Genomic DNA, 22486 nt, shown 5'->3' with positions numbered 1-22486 from the left:
GAAGGATATGATCATTTCTGGAGCTAGAAATGTTACTGACAAGCTAGGTTAGGAAGAGGAAGGAAAGACAGGGCCAATTACAGAATGATTTTTATGTGACAAGTGCTTTACATTTGTTATCTTATCTAAGCTCACAGCAACCCTGTACAATAGATCATTGTAATCAGTGTTTTACTTATAAGAAAAGTATCATAAAAAGAAACTTCCCCAAGTTCACAGAGTTAGTAAATGACAACATCATAATCCAAAACTGATTTACAGTAAAATATTTTTTCTTAGTTATTTTTTCATTCGTGCATTCAAATATATTCACTGCTCATCGACTACATGCCAGATGCTGTACAAACATTTAATACTGTATTGAAAATACAGTATTAAATAAGATAAAGTTCTTGCTCCAATAGAACTTACTTCCTCACATGGAGAGATATCATTAAAAAGTAAACAAAATAATGAAGACAATTGCAGATAGTGACAAAGGCTATAAGGAAAACAAAAGAGGGTAATAAGTGTGAATCCATGTTGATGACACTTAAGCTGAAATCTAAATGCAAGAATAAGCCAGCCATGCCAATGTCCAAGGGAAGAGTAGCCAGAGAGGGGGACAGATTGGACAAGAGCCCCAAATCGGGACTGATCCTCATATGTTCACAGAGATAGAAAGGGCCAGAATGGCTAAAGCAAAGCCAGCAAGGGAGAGAGAACTGAGAAACAAGGTAAGAGGCTGAGGCAAGGACCAGGGCACACAGGCCTATAAGATGGGACCTCAGTCTAAGTGTGATGGGAACCATCCGGAGCTTGTGGGCCAAGGAGTGATAAAATTCAACTTATCTCTGAAAAGCTCACTCTGGATTTTGTGTGGAGGATGCTTATAAAGGGATACAAATAGGACCTGGGCACAACAGCTCATGCCTATAATCCCAGTACTTTGGGAGGCTCAGATGGGAGTATCCCTTGAGGCCAGGAGTTCGAGACCAGCCTGGGCAACATAGCAAGATCCTGTCTCTAAAACAATTTTTAAAAATTAGCCAAGCACAATGGTGCACACATGTAGTCCCAGCCACTCAGGAGGCTGAGGCAGGAGGATTGCTTGAGCCAAAGAGATTGAGGCTGTAATGAGCTATGATTGTGCCACTACACTCCAGCCTGAGAAACAATGTGAGAACCTGTCTCCAAAAGGAAAAAAATTTTAAGGAAGAAAAATAGAGTTCAGAAGACAATCTAGGAGGCTAGAGCAATAGCCCAGGCAAAAGAAGCACATGTGATCTGAGAAGTGGCTGCTTCTCTGCTGTATAGACCACCTAAATGCAATACCACCCCACCACATCATCTCCCGACAAGGTATACACTAGATCAGTGGTTCTCAAAGTGTGGCTGGGGACCCTTGGGCATCCGCAAGACCTGTTCAGGAGGGCCTGAGAGGTCTTCCCTTTCTCAGATATATACCTGTATGAGGCTGGATCATCTTCATATACTTCAACCAAAACAACATATCGTGACAGATGACTTAGGAAGGAAATAACAAAATCTAGCTGTCTTCTACTAAGCCAGACATTACAAAGATTTGCAAAAGTGTAAAACAAAGCCACTCTTCTTGACACATGTGTTGTTTGCTTTGGAAAATATAGTTCTTTTACGGAAGAAAAAAGTGTTCTATTTATACTAACTCACAAGGCATATATTTGTCTTATTTTGAAATGAATTAATAAATTTTTTTGGTTTCTCAGTTATAATGTCTACTTTAACAAATGCCAATTAATATGACCAGCATATCGACCAGGCATGGATAGTTCATGTAATCCCAATAGTTTCAAATGCCAAGATGGGAGGATCACTTTGAGCCCAGGAGCTTAAGACCAGCCCGAGCAACATAGTGAGACCCCATCTCCACAAAAAATTAAAAATTAGCAGCTCATAGTGTCATATGACTGTGGTCCCAGCTACTCAGGAGGCTGAGGTTGGATGACTGCTTGAGCCCAGGGAATGGAGGCTGCAGTGAGCCATGATTGTATCAGTGCAGTCCAGCCTGGGCAACAGAGCAAGACCCTGTCTCAAAAAATAAAATAATGATAATAATAATAATCAGCACATAGCAGAGTATTTTGGATTCTCAATAATTTCTAAGAATGTAAAAGCATCCTGAGACATTAGACCCACTATTTTAATGACCTAAAAGATCCTGGACTGGGAAGGGACAGCCAGGGTATCAGCAAACCTCTGTGAGGACTCCTGGGGGCATGCATTTTCTGAGGCTTCTAGGAGCTTTGCCCTGTTTGATTACGGATTGTCAGTGAAGTCTCCTCTTTGGCTAGGTAGAGACTGCTCTACCAGCTATGGCGGTGGTGGGGAGTCCCCACTGATGCTGAGTTGTCTGGAGGGTGTGCAGTAGTCGCTTTGTGCAAAGGCAGCCATACTAGCAGCCACAGCAATGTTGTGCCAAGGAGAGTGGGCTCTGCAGCCCCTCTCATTGCAATTTCAGCATATGTGCAGTCACATGGCTCAGCCAGCGAGGAGAGAAATCACTGCCTTCTGTAAGGTGCCCCATGTCCCCACGCAAGTACTGTCTGCACTGCTGGATGATAATGAACCCTCAGGGCATTTGTTACCACTTACATATTTCTGAGGTGGATGCTGAGCATGTAATTGCTGCGCTGGGGAAGGCCAGGAGCTGAATGCTAAGTGCAGCTGGATGCAGCAGGGAGGGAGCAGGCTCCAGAGATCACTCCATTCCTATTCTTGTCTGGCAGATTTCCAAAGGGCAGGGCTTCTGAGGATGCCAGGCAATGTTTCGCATCTCCTCGAATCTGGCCAGAAGTTGGGGGCAGAAGTAGGAGAGTCTGGTGGGCAGAGAGGCCTGTATTGCCAAGTCATCCTTTGGAAGCTGGCTCCAGTTTCTGGACTAGGAAACAAAATCCTAAAATGCTAGAGCCAGATGACCCTAGAAATCATCCTTCCTACCCTTTATCAAAACGTATTTCTCATATCACCAATCCACCAGATGATCCAGTAACAAAAAATGTTCTGTGGTCAAAGAAGCTTTAGAAAAACTATACCCATTTCCCAACTGGAGGTTCTCTTGCACATTAACGTAGAAATTTCTCTTTAAAAATGACACAGTGAGTGAGCTGAGATCGTGCCACTGCACTCCAGCCTGGGCAACAGAGCAAGACTCCGTCTCAAAAAAAAAAAAAATGCTGCAGTGAAGAAACCTGCTTAGCTTCATTCTGATACAAATGCTTTAAGGAAGAAAAGGGCTTATCCAAGGTCACATAACAAAATTCAGAATTAGCCTGGCATAGTGGTCCACACCTATTATCCCAGCCACTTGGGAAAGCCAAGGTAGGAAGACTGCTTGAGGCCAGGAGTTCGAGACTAGCCTGGGCAACATAGCCAAGATCCAGTCCCTAAAAAAAAATTAGCTGGGCATGGTGGTGCATGCCTGTAGCGAGATTCAGCCTCAAAAAAAAAAAAAAAAAAAAGAAGAAGAAAAGTCAAAACCTCCCAGATTGTTTGACTCCTAGCCTTGTGATCTTGTCCTGCACCTTAGGGAAAGGAGATCTACTGCTTGGTAAGTTTTCCAAGAACTTCTATCACTGGGAGGTTAAAGACAGAGGTAAAGTTTAAACCATCAACTTAGATCATCCAAAATCATTCCAGCTAGAGGCACCCTCCAGGTGCCTGTAGTACATGAAGGATTTAGGAGTGAAGGGAAGAAAACAGGGAAGAGGTGAATAGAAAAAAGAGACTCTTGTCTGCTAATCCAGGTTACAACTGCTTATCCATACAAAAAATATTTGTCTCTAAGGACAACAACTGAGATTCTTTCATCAACACAAAACTATCAGAAACTGGCTGGGAAGACATGATTTGATGATGTTGTGAATTAGAGTTCTGCAAATATGCATTTAATTTAGAATTAACGGGATGCATTTTTGTCAGTTAATTGAAAAAAATGACTATTAAACACAAATTCACTGATGTTTGACAAGTAGGTAGTAAATACCCGTTTTGCACATGGCAGTTAATTCTCAATAAATATGTTTCTTTCAATAACCGGCTGGTTTTAATTTAACAAATAGATGGCTGTCTGGTGAAATCGGAATTGAGAATCAGGGAACCTTCATGGATAGCAGGGTTCATCACCCCTCACCACCTGCCCTGGAGACTATGTGCATCAGAGATGTGCCAGGATAACCCCTGGAAGTTTGTCCTGTCCGTCAGTAGCACAATTTCCAACAAGCCAAATTCCAAGCAGCCAAGCACCAGGCTCATGAAACAACAAGACTCTATGTATGGCGTGCCTTTTGCTAGGAATTCCATGCCCTTTGTGTAATCCTAGCAAATCACTTAAACATCATGCTCACCTTGAACATCACTTCTGTGAAGCTTTCCCTGATGCCTCAGATCAAGTTCATCCTTCCCCACCAAGCGCTCCACATCCCTTACTATGCACCTCTCTCACAATATTTATAACATTGCATTAAAAATAGAAAATTCCTAAAGGATAGGTTCCTGGCATATGAGAATAACAACTATAAAAACAATAACAACAATCTAGCAGAGGCTGGTATTTGCCTTCCTGATGTCCATTTACCCTTTATATTTAGTCATGGAGCCTGAATTTGACTACCGGCAGCCATAAGACTCTATTTCCCAGCCTCCTTTGCAGACAGATGTGACCACATGATGAGGTCCCAGCCAATGAGATTGAAGCAAAGAGCTGACTTGAGGGATGGACCCTTAAATGGAGCTGACGGGTGTCACCTGTACCTCAATAAAGATGCAGAAAAAGAAAGAGAGCCAGCTCAACTGAGAGTGTTTCCCGCATCCCCACACACACCTCCTCCTCCCTTGGGCTGTTCAGATAATGGACAGGACAGCTGCATCTCCAGCAGCAGCACTGGGTCACGCTATAGCCTTGAGCATAGAAGCCACATACTGAGGATGTCAGAGCAGAAACACAGGTAGAGCCTGGGTCCCTGGTGACTTTGTGACTCAGTCTTATTATTCTTGGACTGCCTGTCTCCGTACTCTTTTGACAGAGAAAAATGAATCTGGGGGCTTTTAAAGCCACTATTATTTAGTTACATACAGCTGAAGTTAATCCTAACAAATACAAATAGCCACAAACATTCATGAACGCTTACAATGTGTGGTTAAGTATTAACATTTATCCTAATGTCACCCCTTTCACAACCCAATGAGGTTGATATCTCTACTGCATAGGTGAAAAAACTGAGGCCCACAAAGTTTAACTAACAAGCTCAAGGTCACATAGCTTGTAATTAATAAGTTTTGAGATGGCATTTAGGGCTGTCTGATTTCAGGTTGGGACTTTTAATGGCATGAAGTACAGCCTCTTGATGAATACTTCTCAAATGAGCAATCCAGTGCTATTCAGAGACTCCATCAGCCTGAGAATGATATCACGACCAGCGCAGCCTCTAACACCTCTCTGGGACTCGGTTTCCTTACTAGTAAAATGATAATAACAGCGACTCTTTATCAAGCACCTTCTATTTTCCAGGAATTCATGTAAGCATCTTACAGGTATGACAGTCCATACTCACAGCCCTGATATGGGACCAATGCCATCCAAATTCCTATTTTATTGATGAGGAAATTGAGACCTAGGAAGGTAAGCAATTTGCTCAAGGTCACACTGTTTGCAAGTGGTCAGTAGAAAGGGAGATGAGAGGACCTAGGTCCATCTGTCTGTCTCTGGAATCTGCCTCTCAATTTCCTGTCAACATCCAAGTATTCCCTTTGTACACATGAGGAAATGGAAGTTTTAACTGCTAAGTGATGGAGTGAGGATTTAAAACTGGGGCCTATTCAACACCAAAGCCAAATACTTTCCCACACTCCTAGAGAAGTCATTGTCTGGAGGGGACGGGACCACCTTCCACTGGCTCTCAGCCCCATGCTGGATGGGTGGAGGATGCCCAGTCCACAGTAGAGCTGCATGAAAGGGAAGTGGAGCTGATGTGGATGCTGCTGGGAGGGAATGAGGGCAAACCTCCATCAGGGCTGAGCGCTCCAGAGCCCTCTGAAGAGAGCGTGGGGAGCTCCCTGAGGCCAGGGCTGTGCAAGCTTCATCCCCTGCTAGGTCTTGCCTCTGGAAGAGCACCAGCCTGGCACTCAGTGAGCATTTAGGGATCACATTCGTTTCCCGCACCTGCTTTAACAAATGGCCACAAACCTAGTGACTTAAAACAACACAAATCTATTTTCTCACTGTTCTGGAAGACACAGTCTGGAATCAAGATGTCATCAGGGCCATCTTGCGCTAAAGGCTCTGGGGGAGAATTCTGCTTGCCTCTTCCTGCCTCTGGTGGCTGCCTTGGCATCCCTTGACAGCACTGCCATCTCAGCCTTCATCATGCAGCATACTTCACTGTGTGTGTGTGTGCATGTGTCCCTCCTCTCCCCTTCTTATAAGGACACCAGTCACTGGGTTAGGGTCCACATGCTATAAAGACACGCCTGAGAATAGGTAATTTATAAAGGAAAGAGGTTTCATTAACTCACAGTTCCACATGACTGGGGAAGCCTCAGGAAACTTACAATCATGGCAGAAGGAGAATCAGGCACCTTCTTCACAAGGCAGCAGGTGAGAGAGAAAAGCCCATGGGAAACTGCCATTTATAAAACCATCAGCTCTTGTGAGAACTCCCTCACTGTCACGAGAACAGCATGGGGGAAACCACTCCCATGATCCAATCACCTCCCACCAGGTCCCTCCCTCAACACTTGTGGATTAAGCAGATTACAATTTGAGATGAGATATGGGTGGGGACACAGTCAAACCATATCACCCCCTAATCCAGTATGACCTCATCTTTGCCTTATTATATCTGCAAAGAACCTATTTTCAAATAAGGTAACAACATTCACTGGTACCAAGGTTAGGACTTGAATATGGCTTTTTGGAATACATGGTTCAACCCATTACAGGGGCCATTTGCTGTATTGGACTGAATATGTTGACTCTCCACAAAGAAATTATTTTCTTTCAAGGAATCATGAAACCAGCGTTCTTAGTGCTGAGTTGTAAAAGTCTCCCACAAAAAACTGTGTCTGTCTCCCTGTGTGTGTCAGTGTGTGGGTATTTGGGTGTGTCTGTGTGTGTCTGTGTATGTCTCTATGTGTGTCTGTGTATGTCTGTATAAGTGGTGTGTATGTGTATGCCTCTATGTTTGTGTATGTCTGTATCTGTGTGCAGGTGTTGGTGTATGTGTGTGTCTGTGTGTGTCTCTATGTGTGTCTCTGTATGTCTGTATCTGTGTGCAGGTGTTGGGGTACGTGTCTGTGTATGTCTCTGTGTGTGTTCTGTATATGCCTGGATCTGTGTGTATGTGTTGGTGTGTGTGTCTGTGTATGTCCCTATGTGTGCCTGTGTATGTCTGTATCTGTGTGCAGGTGTGTGTGTCGGTGTATGTCTCTATGTGTGTCTATGTATGTCTGTGTCTGTGTGTAGGTGTGTATGTGTGTGTGCCTGTGTGTGTCTCTATGTGTGTCTATGTATGTCTATATCTGTGTGCAATTGTTGGTGTGTGTCTGTGTATGTCTCTATGTGTGTCTATGTACGTCTGTGTCTGTGTGTAGGTGTGTATGTGTGTGTGCCTGTGTGTGTCTCTATGTGTGTCTATGTATGTCTATATCTGTGTGCAATTGTTGGTGTGTGTCTGTGTATGTCTCTATGTGTGTCTATGTATGTCTGTGTCTGTGTGTAGGTGTGTATGTGTGTGTGCCTGTGTGTGTCTCTATGTGTGTCTAGGTATGTCTATATCTGTGTGCAATTATTGGTGTGTGTCTGTGTGTGTCCCTATGTGTGTCTCTGTATGTCTGTATCTGTGTGCAGGTGTTGGTGTGTGTGTCTGTGTATCTCTATATCTGTGTGCAGGTGGTATGTGTGTGTCTGTGTATGTTTCTGCATATGTATGTGTGTGCATCTGTATCTTTCTCCAGTGTATATATCTATGTATGTCTTTGTATATGTGTGTGCATATGTGTGTGTCACTCTGTGTGTCTGTGTGTGTGTGTTCCTTTTGGCCTGTCGTAATGATAATGTAGGATTCTACCCTTAGAGATTAATTTCTTGGGAAGTCCCCTAAGAGCATTTGCAGAGTGAAGGGATCTGTGAGGATGGCCGTGTTGATGGGGAAGCACAGGCTGATGCTGGCACATGGAGGCCTGGTGATGCTGCCTGAGTGGGTCCACAGTGGGTACCTGGAAGGCAATACCAGGAAGGAGGAGTGAGGCCTAAAAAGGAAAGAAAGAGAACCATTTCCCTGGGTGAGCAGTTGGGCTCAGTGACTTTTAAGATTCTATGCTGTTTTTGAAACATGAGGCCCTCTAAACCCAGGCCTTCCTGAGAGATGGTTGCCAGGCTCTTAAGTCAATGCTGTCAGAGGTAGGAAGTCCTCCAGAGAGAGGGGAAGGAGAGTGGAGCTGGGTTCCAGTAGCAGCCCTTCTGCTGTTCAGCGGGGAGACCTTACCACAGTCACTGCCTGCTGGATCTGCCTATTCTGTGTCCCATGGGAGCTTTGGGGATGGCCGCCAGGTCTCCCGTGGTCTGGGCAGATTTCCACACTGTCTCGTCACCTCTCCACCTGGCTGACACATGCCCTACAGCTAAAATAGATTTACTCCCCTGGCTGTCACTAAGAAGAGTGGCTCTGAAGTAGCAGCTTCGCTGAGATGGCGGTGGAGAGGGAAGAGGGAGGGAAAAAATGAGAGAGAAGGAACACAGGAGTGAGGCCTCAGAGATTTGCTTCAAGTTGCTGGGAGAGTGGCGCAGTAAAGGGGCCTCCATCAGAAGAATGGCTCTCAGTAGGCAGAGAGGAAGTGGTCCAAATTAACCCCGATAGGAAACTTCACTCTCTACACCGCACGCTACACATCCAGAGTGAAAGCCATCTGAAAATTCTCTGCCACCAAATCAAACCGTTCATTTCCCATTAACGGCCCATCACATGCAGGAGGTATTCTTGGCCCAGGCTATTATGCCTCTGGGTTATTGTTTTAAATTTGAGTCATTACAACAAATTACTGTACTTAGACCTTCTCAAGGAGCTCTGAGGACGTATTGTCACCAGACGTCCTGTTCGCCTGCCTCTCCCGAAACTGCGCCTGCTGGAAGTGGAGGAGAGTGATCCCTTTCTAGATGTTGCCGGGCACTCCAGGTCTCAGGGTGAACTCTAGGGGGTACCCCTGGGCACACTCACCACCCTCCTTGGTTCTCAGTTTCTAAGCCAGCCCTTTGGGACAGAAGACTCCACAACCCAAAATTATCAAAAAGCTGCCATGAACAGGCCTATCCGTGTGCCAAGCACTGAGTTATGCTCAGACCACACACCATGCAGAAGCTCACTGAGTTATGCTCAGACCACACACCATGCGGAAGCTCATACGGGAATTTTGCAGTGAAGAAGAGTGGTTGACACCTGCTCGGGGGGTGCTCTGACTCCATCTTTGGGCTTTGGGAGGCCTGAGCCACAGTGTGTGGAATGGAGGAAGGCAGGGAATAGCAGAGGAAGCTGTTGTCTGGTTGTGAACTCCAGCCACCATACTAAGGTTTGACCTGGAGGCTGTGTCTGCAGGGGTGCAGGTGAGAGAGGTCTCACTGGGCCCATGCAGACATTAGTAATATTCTAGAGACAGTTGGCATTGTGCAGTGTGGGCAGGCAGATGAAGCCCCTCGGTAGGTCCTGGCAGCGGGGCCCACACACGTCCACATTTTACACAGAGACCAAAAAATCAGAACGTTTTCCAGGTCTCGAAATACCACGAAGGCACTTTCAGTCCTCCAGTTGACATGTCTATGGTTAAATTGCCTCCTGTGTTGGATTTTGCACACGTATTCATTTCCATTACCAACTCCAAAGCACCTCCCCTGAATGGATTAAACACCAAATCTTTTGCCTCGACAAATGTTATTTTAAAAATACATAGTATCTATAATACCATAGAGAAATTTACTTTCTAATAAGGGTGTTCCCACTTTTTCCCCAAGTGGTTTCCTAGCTCTGTCAGACACCTATAAGCAGAAGAAAGATAAGTCATCATAAAACCCCTAGAAATTGGTACTGTGATTACCCCCACTTTGCACCTAAGGAAACCAAGGTACAGAGAGGTTAAGTAATGTGCCCAAGGTCACACGGCTATTAAGTGATAGAGCAGGGATTTGAACCCAGAGAGTTGCCTGTAGACTCTTCACGCCTAACTGCTGTGCTGTGCACACTGCCCCTCCATTTATTTTCATAAATGGATGAATCCAAGTGATCATTCTTTCCCTCCCTCCTATCCTGCCTCCTTCTTTTCACAGGGAGCTTTCTCACCAGTTCTTCTCCCAGCTGTCATTATGTAAGAACCTGGATGTGCTGCCAGAAGAATGTGAGACCACACAGGTGGAAGTGCTTTATAAACTGTAAAGTGCCATAAAAGGAAAGGGATCCGTCATTACTGTCGACTTACGCATTTCAGCATCGCTTCTGTTCCGGAGAGTCTTTATCTCCAAAGAATGATTCCTCATTCTTCCTCTTCCGTCTGTTCATAATCTAAATCCCCATATGTCTTTTCTTCATAACTGGAGCGTGTCCACTTATTCTTTTCCCTAATCTCTGCCAAATGGCTCCAAAAGTCATTCTCGGCGGAGTGTTCCGAGCTCTCCGCAAGTGCCGCTCCTCCTCTTGCCACACCCTTTTCCTAGGCAGACACAATTCCTTCTACGCTGATACTTTTTTTTAACTCTCGTCTGAAGCTTGTTCAACATCCTTTGTGCACTTCTAGGCTTTGCCAGCCCTCCGCCACCCCCGGTAATCTAGTCTAAGAATCCGCATCCAAAATTCTTCCTTTGTCTCTTCCCTATCTTTCCTTCTGCATGTTTCATCTCCCTCCTTTTCTCCGCTCCACGTTTCTTGGCCTTTGCGGTTAAGGTGGTAGCTTGCAGCCCCACGCGCATGGGTAGCAATACCCAGGTTCCAGTCACTGTCACGCTGCTACGGCTTAATCCGTGAGCTTGAGCAGAGCTTCTTGCCCTCCCTGAGCAAGGTCAAGGTGGGAAGGTTGAGCTGACTGAGCCTCGAGTCCTTTCCAGCTTGATGTTCTATTCTCTCAGGCTCTATGATCTCGAAGACCAGAGATGGCAGGGCCCCTCCCTTCAGCTCCAAAATGGATAAATCGAGTATCCATGCTCCTTTCAGGGGATCTGTCTATTCCTTATCAGCACTTCACAACTAATGTCCTGCAGAACAGCTTTCCCCGGCACGCTACCACATGTGCAACAAGAAACGAGCTCCTTGTTGAAATAACTTTAGGAAATGCTGGTTATAAAAAGGCAATAACTGGACTTTTTATTTTACTTTATTTTATTTTAAGTTCCAGGATACATGTACAGGAAATGTAGGTTTGTTACATAGGTAAACCTGTGCCATGGAGGTTTGCTGCACTTATCAACCCATCACCTAGGTATTAAGCCCCGCATGCATTAGCTATTTATTATTATGCCCTCCCTCCCCCTGCTCCCATGACAGGCCCCAGTATGTGTTGTTCCCCTCTCTGTGTCTTGGACTTCTAATCGCAAGACTTCGAGCTCCCTAATCTATAAGTAGGTATCCTGACACCCTGAGAATGCTGGAGCAGTGGTATGGCCCAAGCTTTTGTGAGCGTAACTTTGGAGAAATCCCTATTAAGTTCTCCCAGGAGAGTCCCCTAGATACAAGAGTTTCAGAAGCTCTCTTAGGACCACACTTCCACACCAGTGATCATCGCTCTTTCCTCCCCCTCTGCAGTAGACTCTCTAGGCACAGCAATTGTGCACTGTCCTGTAAGCTTTGAGATCAAAAGCTCATGTCCAGGGTGTGTGGAATGAGATCAGAAGGTTCCTCCGGATCAGGCAGATCCTGCAATTCTCTATAAGAAGGGAGCAAATAAGTCCAACAGAAGAGGTAGATGAATTGTTACCTAGTCAGGCCTTCTTTTTGGAGATATGTTCATAGATGTTACAGCTATTTTTTTTTCCACTTAATGTGGGAGAGGAAGTCCACCTTAAGCTGTGGACAAACTTTTCTGATTGTACAGCACACATACACACACACACACACACACACACACACACACACACACACACTACAAGGCTTTCAGAGTGCAGTAAGCTCCTCAGAGAAAGGTAAAAGAATCTTTAAACAAGGCAGGTGACCACCCCAGAGCTGCCTGAAAACTAGAGCAATTTGACGTCTGGAAGAAAAAATGGCTTTTAGTCACAGAAATATGCATGTAGATATTGAGTTATTCACTTAAAAACACCTGCTTTAAAAACCTCTCTGGGGGAGAACTCCCATCTATATTAGAATTCATAAAACAAAAACACTCTGAGTGTGTTATTAAAATGTTAACATCAGAAACATTGCGAGAAGCCAGAGAGGCTTTGGTTACCCAAAGAGACTGCAAGAAGGGAAATCCCCAAGCAATTACAACCCTCAATAAGCTTTTACTTTTATATGTAAAAACACAGAAATGATTGGAGGATTGTAGATACACAGTTTCAGATTGTTAGGAAAATTTATCAGATCAACTAGCATAAGAGACAGAAAGGGGTGCAAAGGAAATGAACACTGGCTGAGGTCTCCCCGACTACGTGCCAGGAAGTTCGAATGGGGAACTATCAGGCCACGATGACCGCAACCCTGCAAGTGGACCGGGATCTAGTTCCTATATGCAGAAACCAAGCCTCAAGGAAGGTAAATTATCTATTTCCATGATGAACATCTGACTGTAACAGAAGCACACTCTCTTCCTCTCCCACGCTGGCAGCGGAAAGGGCCGATTGAAGTGAGTGGCTCAGTTTCTGCCCAGCTGGGACTTCTGTCGGGGCTCAGCCTAATTCCGCATTGGAGGCATTGAAATTTCAGCATGACAGCCCCCTTCCTGAATGAGAGTCTATGTCTGGGGAATGAACCGTGAGTCCCAGATTTCTCTAATATGTTTTCATGGTGATGCTATGAAAGTCAAAACGGAATAGGAAAATAATTCTTCCAGAATCTCATCGACTCTAAAGGTATAGCGGGAAGAAAATCAATATGAGCTTGATGCCAGATAAACTTGGGTTTGAAACTCAACTCTGTCACTAACTGGCTAGGTGAGTCAGGTAGGCTACGTGACCTCTCTGAACCTGTTTCCATATTCGTAAAAAGGTGTGTGTGTGATTAAGACTGAATAGTAGTAATAATAGCTAACATGTATTTAGCACTTGTTACATGTTCATTTCTTTTCTGTGTTTTTTGCATGTACATATTTAATTTCTGACAATAACTCCGTGGCGGGGTGTTCTTACCCCATTTTACAGATCGATCGGGAGACTGAGGTATGAAATTCTCACATAATTTTCCCAAAACCATATGGATACTTAGTATTACAGGCAGGATTTGAACCCAGGCAATCAGAACACAGAGCTTTTGCTCCTAAGCACTGTGTGCTACCAAATGAGGCAATATTGGTGACAATGCCTAGCACAGGGGCAGACCCTTGATATTTGACATATTTTAGGGACCCTTCACTCTTTTTCTTTGTTGTCCCATTTCAGATTCACCTGCTTTTATCTTGAGGGCCTGAGTCAGGAGTTAACTTCAATCCCTGAAAACCTGGGTCCAATGACTGCAAGAGAAAACATGGTCTAAAAATCCTTATGCCAACTCTGCTAGAGTCCAATCCCAGCTGTCTACTTCGGTCTAGGAAGCATGACAGGCCATAACTTTTCCTACAAGAAAACTAGAGATTCTCTCTAGCCCTGTTCTCACAGTCATGAGAAAAACCAAGACCCCTAGAGAACAAGAAGCTCACCCACCTCCACACAGTTTGTGTAGCAGTGAAGAGAAAACCACAGCAACACAGGGGTGTTCTTTTATTTTATTTTATTCTTTTGTGACAGCATCTCATTCTGTCACCCAGGCTGGAGTGTACTCGTGCGATCTCAGCTAACTGGCACCTCCGCCTCCTGGATTCAAACGATTCTGGTGCCTCAGCCTCCCAAGTAACTGGGATTACAAATGCGTACCACCACGCCTGGCTAATTTTTGTATTTCTAGTAGATACGGGATTTCACCGTATTGGCCAGGCTGGTCTCGATCTCCTGGCCTCATGTGATCCTCCCGCCTCAGCCTCCCAAAGTGCTGGGATTAGAGGCATGAGGCTGTATTGCCTGGATTACCGCACCCTGCCGGGAGTACTCTTAACATGGTTCCTGTGGGGAGGACACAGGAGACAAGGGGCAGTTAGAGGATGGACCATCTCTGAGATTTTAGGAGACACATTACCGAACATGTGGCCAAACTGCTGAAAGTGCCCGAGAGTAGTGGGAGACAGTAGCCTTTTTAAGATGAAATGAGCCTACATTTCCTCAGCCCAATCCTCCGTTTTGAAGGACAGCTTCCCCCAGCAGGTTAACCAAGATAGCAGATAGATGTTTGGATTCTAGATGCCCTGCCAACCACAGTATTCCTGTCCTCTGCCACAGCTCCAAAGCAGAACCTCATCTGCAAGCTACCAACCAGGGCCTCTGGGGGATCCAAGTCAGGACCACCAGCATCTTTTGAAGCCCAAATAAATGAGTAAGGCATAAGAAACATTCCAGGAACATCAGCTTTCTCCAGTAGCCCTAAGGTATGTAAGTGAAATCAAAGTATCAGATGTCTATGGAGGCGCTGAGACCCATAATACTCACTGTACCCACACACCCTTCACTTGAAATGAACGCGAAAGACTGGAAGATACAACTGTGTCTAGGGGTGGCAGTACAGTAGGGGGGCCAGAGGCCAGTCCCAAAACATCCTTTGACTTTTATAACAAGAAAAGCGCTATCATTAATAGCCCAGCCAAGGGCTTCAGCAGGTAAAAGTACTGCATATGAGTTTAATAAAATCATGACTGCGTAGGGGAAAAAAGTGTTAATGAGATACTAGTGTCCATATAAATTGAAAAATAAAAGACTGATCAGAATAACTAAGCCTACTGCTCAGCGTTTCCTGGCTTCATTTCCATCAGTCTTGTCTTTCCCTCTTGAATCTGTGATGTCCTCTACTCTTACGGCTCTGAGTTATTCATGTTGGGCCTGTTCTTTTTATTTATTTTTTATTTTTTATTTTTTTTAGATGGAGTTTTGCTCTTGTCTCCCATGCTGGAATGCAATGGCGCAATCTCAGCTCACTGCAGCCTCCACCTCCCGGGTTCAAGCAATTCTCCTGCCTCAGCCTCCCGAGTAGCTGAGATTACAGACATGCACCACCATGGCCTGCTTTTGTACTTTTAGTAGAGACAGGGTTTCACCATGTTGGCCAGGCTGGTCTCGAACTCCTGGCCTCAAGCAATACACCTGCCTTGGCTTTCCAAAGTGCTGGGATTACAGGCATGAGCCACTGTGCCTGGCCGTTCTTTCTATCTTTTACAAATAGAATAGCAGCCAGGAATTTTAGAACCAAGCGTCTTATGAGTAATCTTTACTTTCTTATATATCACCAAAGAGGATGCTAAGAATCTGAAAGGTAAGTGACTGGTCCAAGGTCACACAGTTGATGGCACATCTAAACTAGAGCCCATGATTGTCAGGGTGGGGTCTGTCTCCTCCACCTCCACGCCTTATGTGTCTACCCAAGTTATTGTTGCACTGTCCTGAATGTGTATACTTGCATCTCTCTCTCTCTCTCTCTCTCTCTCTCTCTCTCTCTCTCTCTCTCTAACATTCAAATAGATATAATTCTCTGGACAGGTTCCCAGTGGACAGCTTGAGCTGGTCAGCCCCAGTAATTCATGTATCTACAACATTGCAAATGCACAAACCAGATACGTGGTGAAGGGCCTCAGATTTTAATTATATCTTACTTCACAGCTGCAGCCAATTCCTGCTATGGCTTAATAACCAGGTTGCACTAGCCGTGAACACTTTCTCTTGCTAATTTTGCTCAGGCAAATTGAGTTTTTACTACCATTTTGGCAGAAATGCTTATCATAACAATTATGATAAAGTGATGAGGATTGGAAACATCTGCAGGAACGAACTTGGAGACAGAAGGATGTCAGTTAGTCTGGTTGCGCAGGAAAACATGCTGTAGGAAGTCTGGGTGATGGCTCTATTACCTGCTAAGGACAATGGGATGAGCAGAGGACCTGGGCCTCCCCCGACTCTCTTGTTGGCATGCCCAAGGGAGCCCAGGAGCCCTTGGTGGCATGGACTGACTTCACTGTAGTACCCACTCTCTGCTATGACTTTGGGGGAGATTTGAAATGAGGCAAAAGATGCTCTGGGGCTAGTCAGAGAATATAACAATAATCTTAGAGAACACCTCATTGTACAGATGAGAAAACTGAGGCTGGGGGAGGAAGGAGTGATACCACCAAGGTCATACAGCTGATGGGTGATATCTGAGCCTTCTGCTCCTGTGCCAGAGCTCTCTCCTCTGTCTAAAATAAATCCAATTGAGGCTTAAGTCAAGCAATGAATGGAATCTCCTGGGATCCCTGGGAGGAGATCCCAGATGGTCTCTCTGCTAAAGCAGAGACATGATAAATAGGAAAATCACAAGAAATGTGTCACCATCTGTGGCATTGTTTGGGAATCGGGAAATAGTCTGTACCAGGAATGCTGGTCATTGGTGCCAAAGAGAAAGAGGGGTGACAGAAGAATCTGGAGTGCCAACAACCTGGAGCAATAAGAAAGAAGAAAATAACTGCAAAGATGTTGAGTTCCAGTATATTGTTGGCTGATGTCGCCTACACCAGCTTCTTCCGAGGGAAACTCCTGGTCATCAGTGTCTTTTACTGTTGATGCCGTTCAAGAAGGTCTTGAGAAGGGGACCCTCTTTTCTCCTCTGGTAAGGCATCTGAAGGAAGGCTCTCACTAGATTTTATTTAGTGCTAGAATAGATGTGTTTAAGACTAAGCTACCAGATTTCCTCTATTTTTTAGACACCATCAATTAGTAAAATGCATCATCAATTTAATAAGAGTTTTTGGGGGAAGAAAACAAGCACTATACTAAATGTGCACATCCATCATGAGACACAGCCCTATTTTAGAAATGTGAAAATTAAAAAAAAAAAATTCACCAATAGAATCAAGGATATATATAATATAGAGAAGTCACATGTCTCAGTATGAAATAGATTACCAGAGAGGAGGGGAGAGAAGAAAATACTGGTTCCAGGAAGACTATGGCAATAGTCTAGGTAAAATAAGTTACTTTTTGGAATGTGTTTGATAGTAGCAAAAGTGAAATAAAAGGAAGAAATGGGTGTATTACTTTTCTATTGCTGCATAATAAATGACCACAATATTAGCAGCTTCATGCAACATCTATTTAATGTCCCACAGGTCTGTAAGTCAGAAGTCTGGACAGAACTTAGCTGGGTTCTCTGCTCAGCATATCACAAGGCTGAAATCAAGGTGTCAGTTAGGCTTGGGGTCTCATCTGAGGCACAAATTCTTCTTCTGTGCTCACTTGGTTGTTGGCAGAATTCATTTCCTTGCAGTAGGACTCATGGTGGCCAATAGGAGAGATCCCCTTCCAGGCTGTTATGGCGGAGTGGTAAATAAGCTAACATAATAACAGTAATGACTATCTCATTTCATTAGTCTATCCTCACACTGCTAATAAAGACATACCTGAGACTGGGTAATTTATAAAGGAAAGAGGTTTAATGTACTCACAGCTCCACATAGCTGGGGAGGCCTCACAATCATGGCAGAAGACGAAGAGAGAGCAAAGGGACATCTTAGGTGGCAGCAGGCAAGACAAATTTGTGTAGGGGAACTCCCCTTTATAAAACCATCAGATATCATGAGACTTATTCACTGTCATGAGAACAGCATGGGAAAGACCCGCCCGCATGATTCAATTACTTCCCACTGGGTGTCTCCCACAATATGTGGGAATTATGGGAGCTACAATTCAAGGTGAGATTTGGGTGGGGACACAGCCAAACGACATCACTCATCATAGGCACATTTCCCACCCACTCTCAAGGGGAGAAGATCACACAGAGCTTGTGCACCAAGGGGAAAGAATCTTAGCGGCCACCTCATAAATCTACCTCCTACAATGGGAGAATTGTAAGGAATGTAGAATCAACAGGACTTTGCTGGTTGAATGGGGGATATGCAACACTGCCCCTCACAATACCTTGTAGTCATATAGGGCCATAAAACCTTAAAGCAGTTTTACATATGTGAGCTCTTTTGACCCTTGATGCAATCTTATGAAATAGATAGATCAGATACCATTATTTCCACTTCACAGATGAGAAAGTGGAGGTCCAGACAAGTGAAATGATTAACATAAGGTCACTTGATAAATTACTGGCCCAGCCACAGCCAGGATTATAAAGTGGTTTCCCACTTATGAGCCATTTCTCACACACAATCATCACTACTGATTTTACTAAAACTTACCCCTATCTGTGGAGCCTTTCATTGCCTCTGGGCAATTTCAGTCCAAGCTGGACCACACAGACCTTATCCTCTGGACCACATAAAAGGGATCTGGACTCCACCAAAGCAGTTTGGTTCTGTTTTCCTTGCTTCTATCATGCTAGACATGCCGGAAAACACAACTCCCTTCCTCCATAAGAAGTCCCTGGCTTGATGACACATCACAAAAGCTTATCTCCAAATGCCAGCTTCAGACAGCAAGTGCAAAGAGCGTGACTTGACTCAGAAGATGTTATGACAATAATGATGAGGCCAGAACCCCAGTCTACTCTTGACGGAGTTACTGTTACCATTTCCAACAGAGAGTCTCATTCGGGGGCTTAGTGGATGATTTATAGACCACTAACTTCCTTAAGCTCCCTAGGACGTACAGAGTGGTCTAGCTGCCAGGAATCAACTGAGAGACAAAAAAAAATCACTCCTGCTTGATCTCTGAACATACACACATGCATGTGCATCCACACACACACACACACACACACACACACACACAAACATACACACAGAGGCAGGCACACGTGGGTCCCTGTCAAGGCTCCTGCGTATTGGCTGGCATGTTGAGTAATGAGTTACTAGAGGGAGTCTGCCCTCCCTCCTTTATGTGAGCATCTGAGCTCCAACCTGCAACAACTCTATCAACTCATTAAATGCGCATCACTTAAATGAACCTGCCATGAAGGGGATTCAAACTATGTTAACAACAAAATCTCTGTGGTGATCAAAACACATCATTAAAAACATGAAGGATGAGAGGATGAAGATGAAAGGGTTCTCCTCTCCTCCTCTTACGCTTCCTGCTGCTCTGGATTGAGAAATGAGTTAAGGCATTTCATCTTCCTGCGTCTAAGTCTGCTCACCTTCAAAGCAGGAGAATGTAATGGGTGGGAAAGGTGGAGACAGCTTAGTGAGATGAGTCTTGGAGACAGACTGACTTATTGTACTTTTATTTGTATCAAGACTTTGAGAAGATTATTCCATCTTTTCGAACCTCAGTTTCCTAAACCGTGATTATGTTAAAAATGCTTAAGCCATAAGCCTGTGGGAATTAGTTGTGTGTGTGTGTGTGTGTGTATATATATGCACATACATATATATACACACACATACGTATACACACACACACACACACGTATATATATATATATAGTTGGCTTCTGAACAACATGGGTTTGAACTGCATGGATCCACTTACAAGCAGATTTATTTCAACCAAACAGAAATCAAAAATACAGTATTCCTGGGATGTGAAACCCATATATAGGGAGGGATGACTTTTAGTATCTCCAGATTCCTCAGGGCAACTGCAGGGCTTGAGTATGCTCAGATTTTGGTATATTAGAGGCTCCTAGAACGAATCCCCCATGGATACCAAGAGGCATCTATGTCAGGCAACTCGCATGGGGTGTGGCCTATGACAGGCATTCAATAGATGATCATTTCTCCTGCCCACCCTCAGGGCCCTCTCCAGCTCCCTACTTCTCTGGCTTTATTTTAAGATTCTATAATCATCTGTCTCTCTTCCAATGGTTAAATCATTTGAAGTATTCAGGCATTATGAAAAACTTTGCCTTAGCATTTCTGACAGCCTGTGTGTGGCACCCTGACATTCTCCCACTTCCACACCCTCTCGGAATCACCTTTAAAAAATGATATAAAAGCATATCTACTTATTTGTCAGCATCCAGATCAGAAGCTCCTTCCGGGAAGTCTCTTTACTTTGTAGTGAAGACCTCAGACATCCCCCCACCGGTGTCAGGCTTCAGACAGGAGGAAACAGCATACTGTCATGCAAAATCAAGGCAACAGCTTCCATGACAATGCACATTTAGCAGCTTAAATACACAAGTCTAACCTGGCTATTGAGGATGATTTGCTTTGAAGAATGTCAGCAAGCCAGAGTCAAACCTTACTTCCCAGCCAGAGGGGCAGGAATGGAGAAAAATAAGTGCTTATGTGGCCAAGGGGGCCGAAAAGGAATTAGATTAGATAAAACAGCACGAGGAAGCCTTGTGAGCTATTTACTATGTGCCCTGCAGAAGAATTAAGGTATCACAGGCTCCCGGATGCTATCAGAGCATCAGAGAGATCTTTTCAGAAGTTTGATAGCCCTGACTCCTGGCATGCTCCCCACCCCCAAACTCCTCCTGACACTAACATTATAAAGGAACATTATTATAACAGGACTTCTTTTTTCACTTTATCTTCAGTTTAAAGCATCATGTGCTGCTGGAAAGGGGTCTCGATCCAGACCCCAAGAAAGGGTTCTTGGGTCTCACGCAAGAAAGAATTCAAGGCAAATCCATAAAGTGAAAGCAAGTTTATTAAGTAAATGAACAGAAGAATGGCTACTCCACAGGCAAAGCAGTCCGAGGGCTGCTGGTAACTTATTTTTAAGGTTATTTCTTGTTTACATGCTAAACAAGGGGTGGATTATTCATGAGTTTTCTGGAAAAGGGGTGGGCAATTCCCGGAACTGAGGGTTCCTCCCCTTTTTAGACCATATAGGGTAACTTCCTGTTGTTGGCATCGCATTTGTAAACTGTCATGGCACTGGTGGGAGTGTCTTTTAGCATCCTAATGTATTATAATTAGTGTATAATGAGCAGTGAGGACGACTAGAGTTAACTTTTGTCAACATCTTGGTTTTGGTGGCTTTTGGCCGGCTTCTTTACCGCAACCTGTTTTATCAGCAAGGATGTATCTCATCCTGTGACTTAGAATGCCTAACCTCCTGGGAATGCAACTCAGTAGGTATCGGCCTTATTTTCCCAGCCCCTATTCAAGATGGAGTTGCTCTGGTTCAAAAGCCTGTGACACATGCACAATTTGTTTATCTACAACAACTAACAAACTTAAGAATGCAGTTTACAGCCTGCACCTGCAGTCCCAGCTACTTTGGAAGCTGAGGCAGGAGGATGGGTTGAGCCCAGGAATTCAAGCTATGGCAACACAGCCAGACTCTGTCTCTAAAAAATGTTTTTAAAAGAATGCTAATTACTAGAACCAAATACTGCGGGAACTTGCGAACCAAATTCCTAAGGCTTAAAATGTATCCATATTCAGCTTTCTCATTATATAAAACCTTCCTATATGAGAATTAATCTTTGGGTTTAAAGAGTAACATATGTAAGTTAGTACCAGTCATTCCCATTTTACCATGATTTCGTTATCTGGCCATGCCCCACAGTGTTAAGTGGCCAAGAGTAGCATCCATCTTTCCAGGATAGGACAAAGTATGTTCTATTATAAAACGGTCAGTCCTAAAAATTGGTCTGGAGCAAGAGGACAGCTATCTGCAAAAAACAGGCCAGCAATAACAATTGCCGAGTAGGTGGGAGTGGTGCTGATGATAGGGTAGTGGCTGAAAATCTAGTGCCCAGTTCTAGAGAGAAAAATGGCACTATGCCCCTAGACATGGGGACAGATGAGAAATGCTGAAAGGGAAAGTCCTCGTGCCCCCCAAACTAAAGGGTTTGTTTAGGTGGCACTAGGACTTCTTATGTATGCCTTAGAATAGCTCTGGCCTGGTTCTGTCCAAGGTTCTGAATTTTTGTTGGTTTTGTCTTGAATATTTACCCCTTTTTTTCCCTTCCTTTATTCTACCTGTTGCACAGTAACTATTAACATTTAATGGCCACTCACAAAGTGAATGATGTTGTATACTGCATTGTTAACTCACTGACCAATGAATAAACATGTTGAATCCAAAAACACCTAGTCTCTGTGCTTTGTGGACTCACATATCATCATTGTCAGGGCCTGTATTCAGCAACTCAGCATTTCCTTCATGCTTTTATCCACTCTCCCATTCATGCATTTAATATTTATTAACCACCTAGTATTAAGCAAAATGTATGGAAAGAAGTGGATGGGGCTGACCTCTGCCTCTGTAACAAGAGTCATGGAAGAGCAGAAAAATCATTTCACTGCTTGCTTTTATTCCATTCACAGTTAAGAGGGATGTGGAAAGGAGCCAAGGGCCCAAACTGCACTGGAATAAAAATTC

At 44.3% G+C, this 22486-nt stretch overlaps 5 annotated features.

Annotated features, from left to right (window-relative positions):
* Positions 4099 to 4268: an enhancer, noted in NCBI's record as "experimental_102632 CRE fragment used in MPRA reporter constructs". NCBI's record gives its function as "activates a minimal promoter by MPRAs in K562 erythroleukemia cells, with activity observed for both the introgressed and non-introgressed 8:20382080 variant alleles {active_cell/tissue: K562}" and the evidence as "EXISTENCE:reporter gene assay evidence [ECO:0000049][PMID:34662402]".
* Positions 18937 to 19148: a silencer, noted in NCBI's record as "fragment chr8:20367115-20367326 (GRCh37/hg19 assembly coordinates)". NCBI's record gives its function as "represses an EF-1alpha promoter that drives an FKBP-Casp9 reporter gene in an ReSE screen in HepG2 liver carcinoma cells {active_cell/tissue: HepG2}" and the evidence as "EXISTENCE:reporter gene assay evidence [ECO:0000049][PMID:32094911]".
* Positions 19541 to 20280: an enhancer, noted in NCBI's record as "OCT4-NANOG-H3K27ac hESC enhancer chr8:20365983-20366722 (GRCh37/hg19 assembly coordinates)". NCBI's record gives its function as "activates a minimal SCP1, AML or CMV promoter by ChIP-STARR-seq in naive and primed H9 embryonic stem cells {active_cell/tissue: H9 hESC(naive and primed)}" and the evidence as "EXISTENCE:reporter gene assay evidence [ECO:0000049][PMID:30033119]".
* Positions 20281 to 21019: an enhancer, noted in NCBI's record as "OCT4-NANOG-H3K27ac hESC enhancer chr8:20365244-20365982 (GRCh37/hg19 assembly coordinates)". NCBI's record gives its function as "activates a minimal SCP1, AML or CMV promoter by ChIP-STARR-seq in naive and primed H9 embryonic stem cells {active_cell/tissue: H9 hESC(naive and primed)}" and the evidence as "EXISTENCE:reporter gene assay evidence [ECO:0000049][PMID:30033119]".
* Positions 21020 to 21759: an enhancer, noted in NCBI's record as "H3K27ac hESC enhancer chr8:20364504-20365243 (GRCh37/hg19 assembly coordinates)". NCBI's record gives its function as "activates a minimal SCP1, AML or CMV promoter by ChIP-STARR-seq in primed H9 embryonic stem cells {active_cell/tissue: H9 hESC(primed)}" and the evidence as "EXISTENCE:reporter gene assay evidence [ECO:0000049][PMID:30033119]".

This window comes from Homo sapiens, chromosome 8, assembly GCF_000001405.40.
Source record: "Homo sapiens chromosome 8, GRCh38.p14 Primary Assembly".
Classification (NCBI taxonomy): domain Eukaryota; kingdom Metazoa; phylum Chordata; class Mammalia; order Primates; family Hominidae; genus Homo; species Homo sapiens.
The sequence above is the reverse complement of the archived record's forward strand: the minus strand, read 5'-3'. Positions and strand labels throughout refer to the sequence as shown.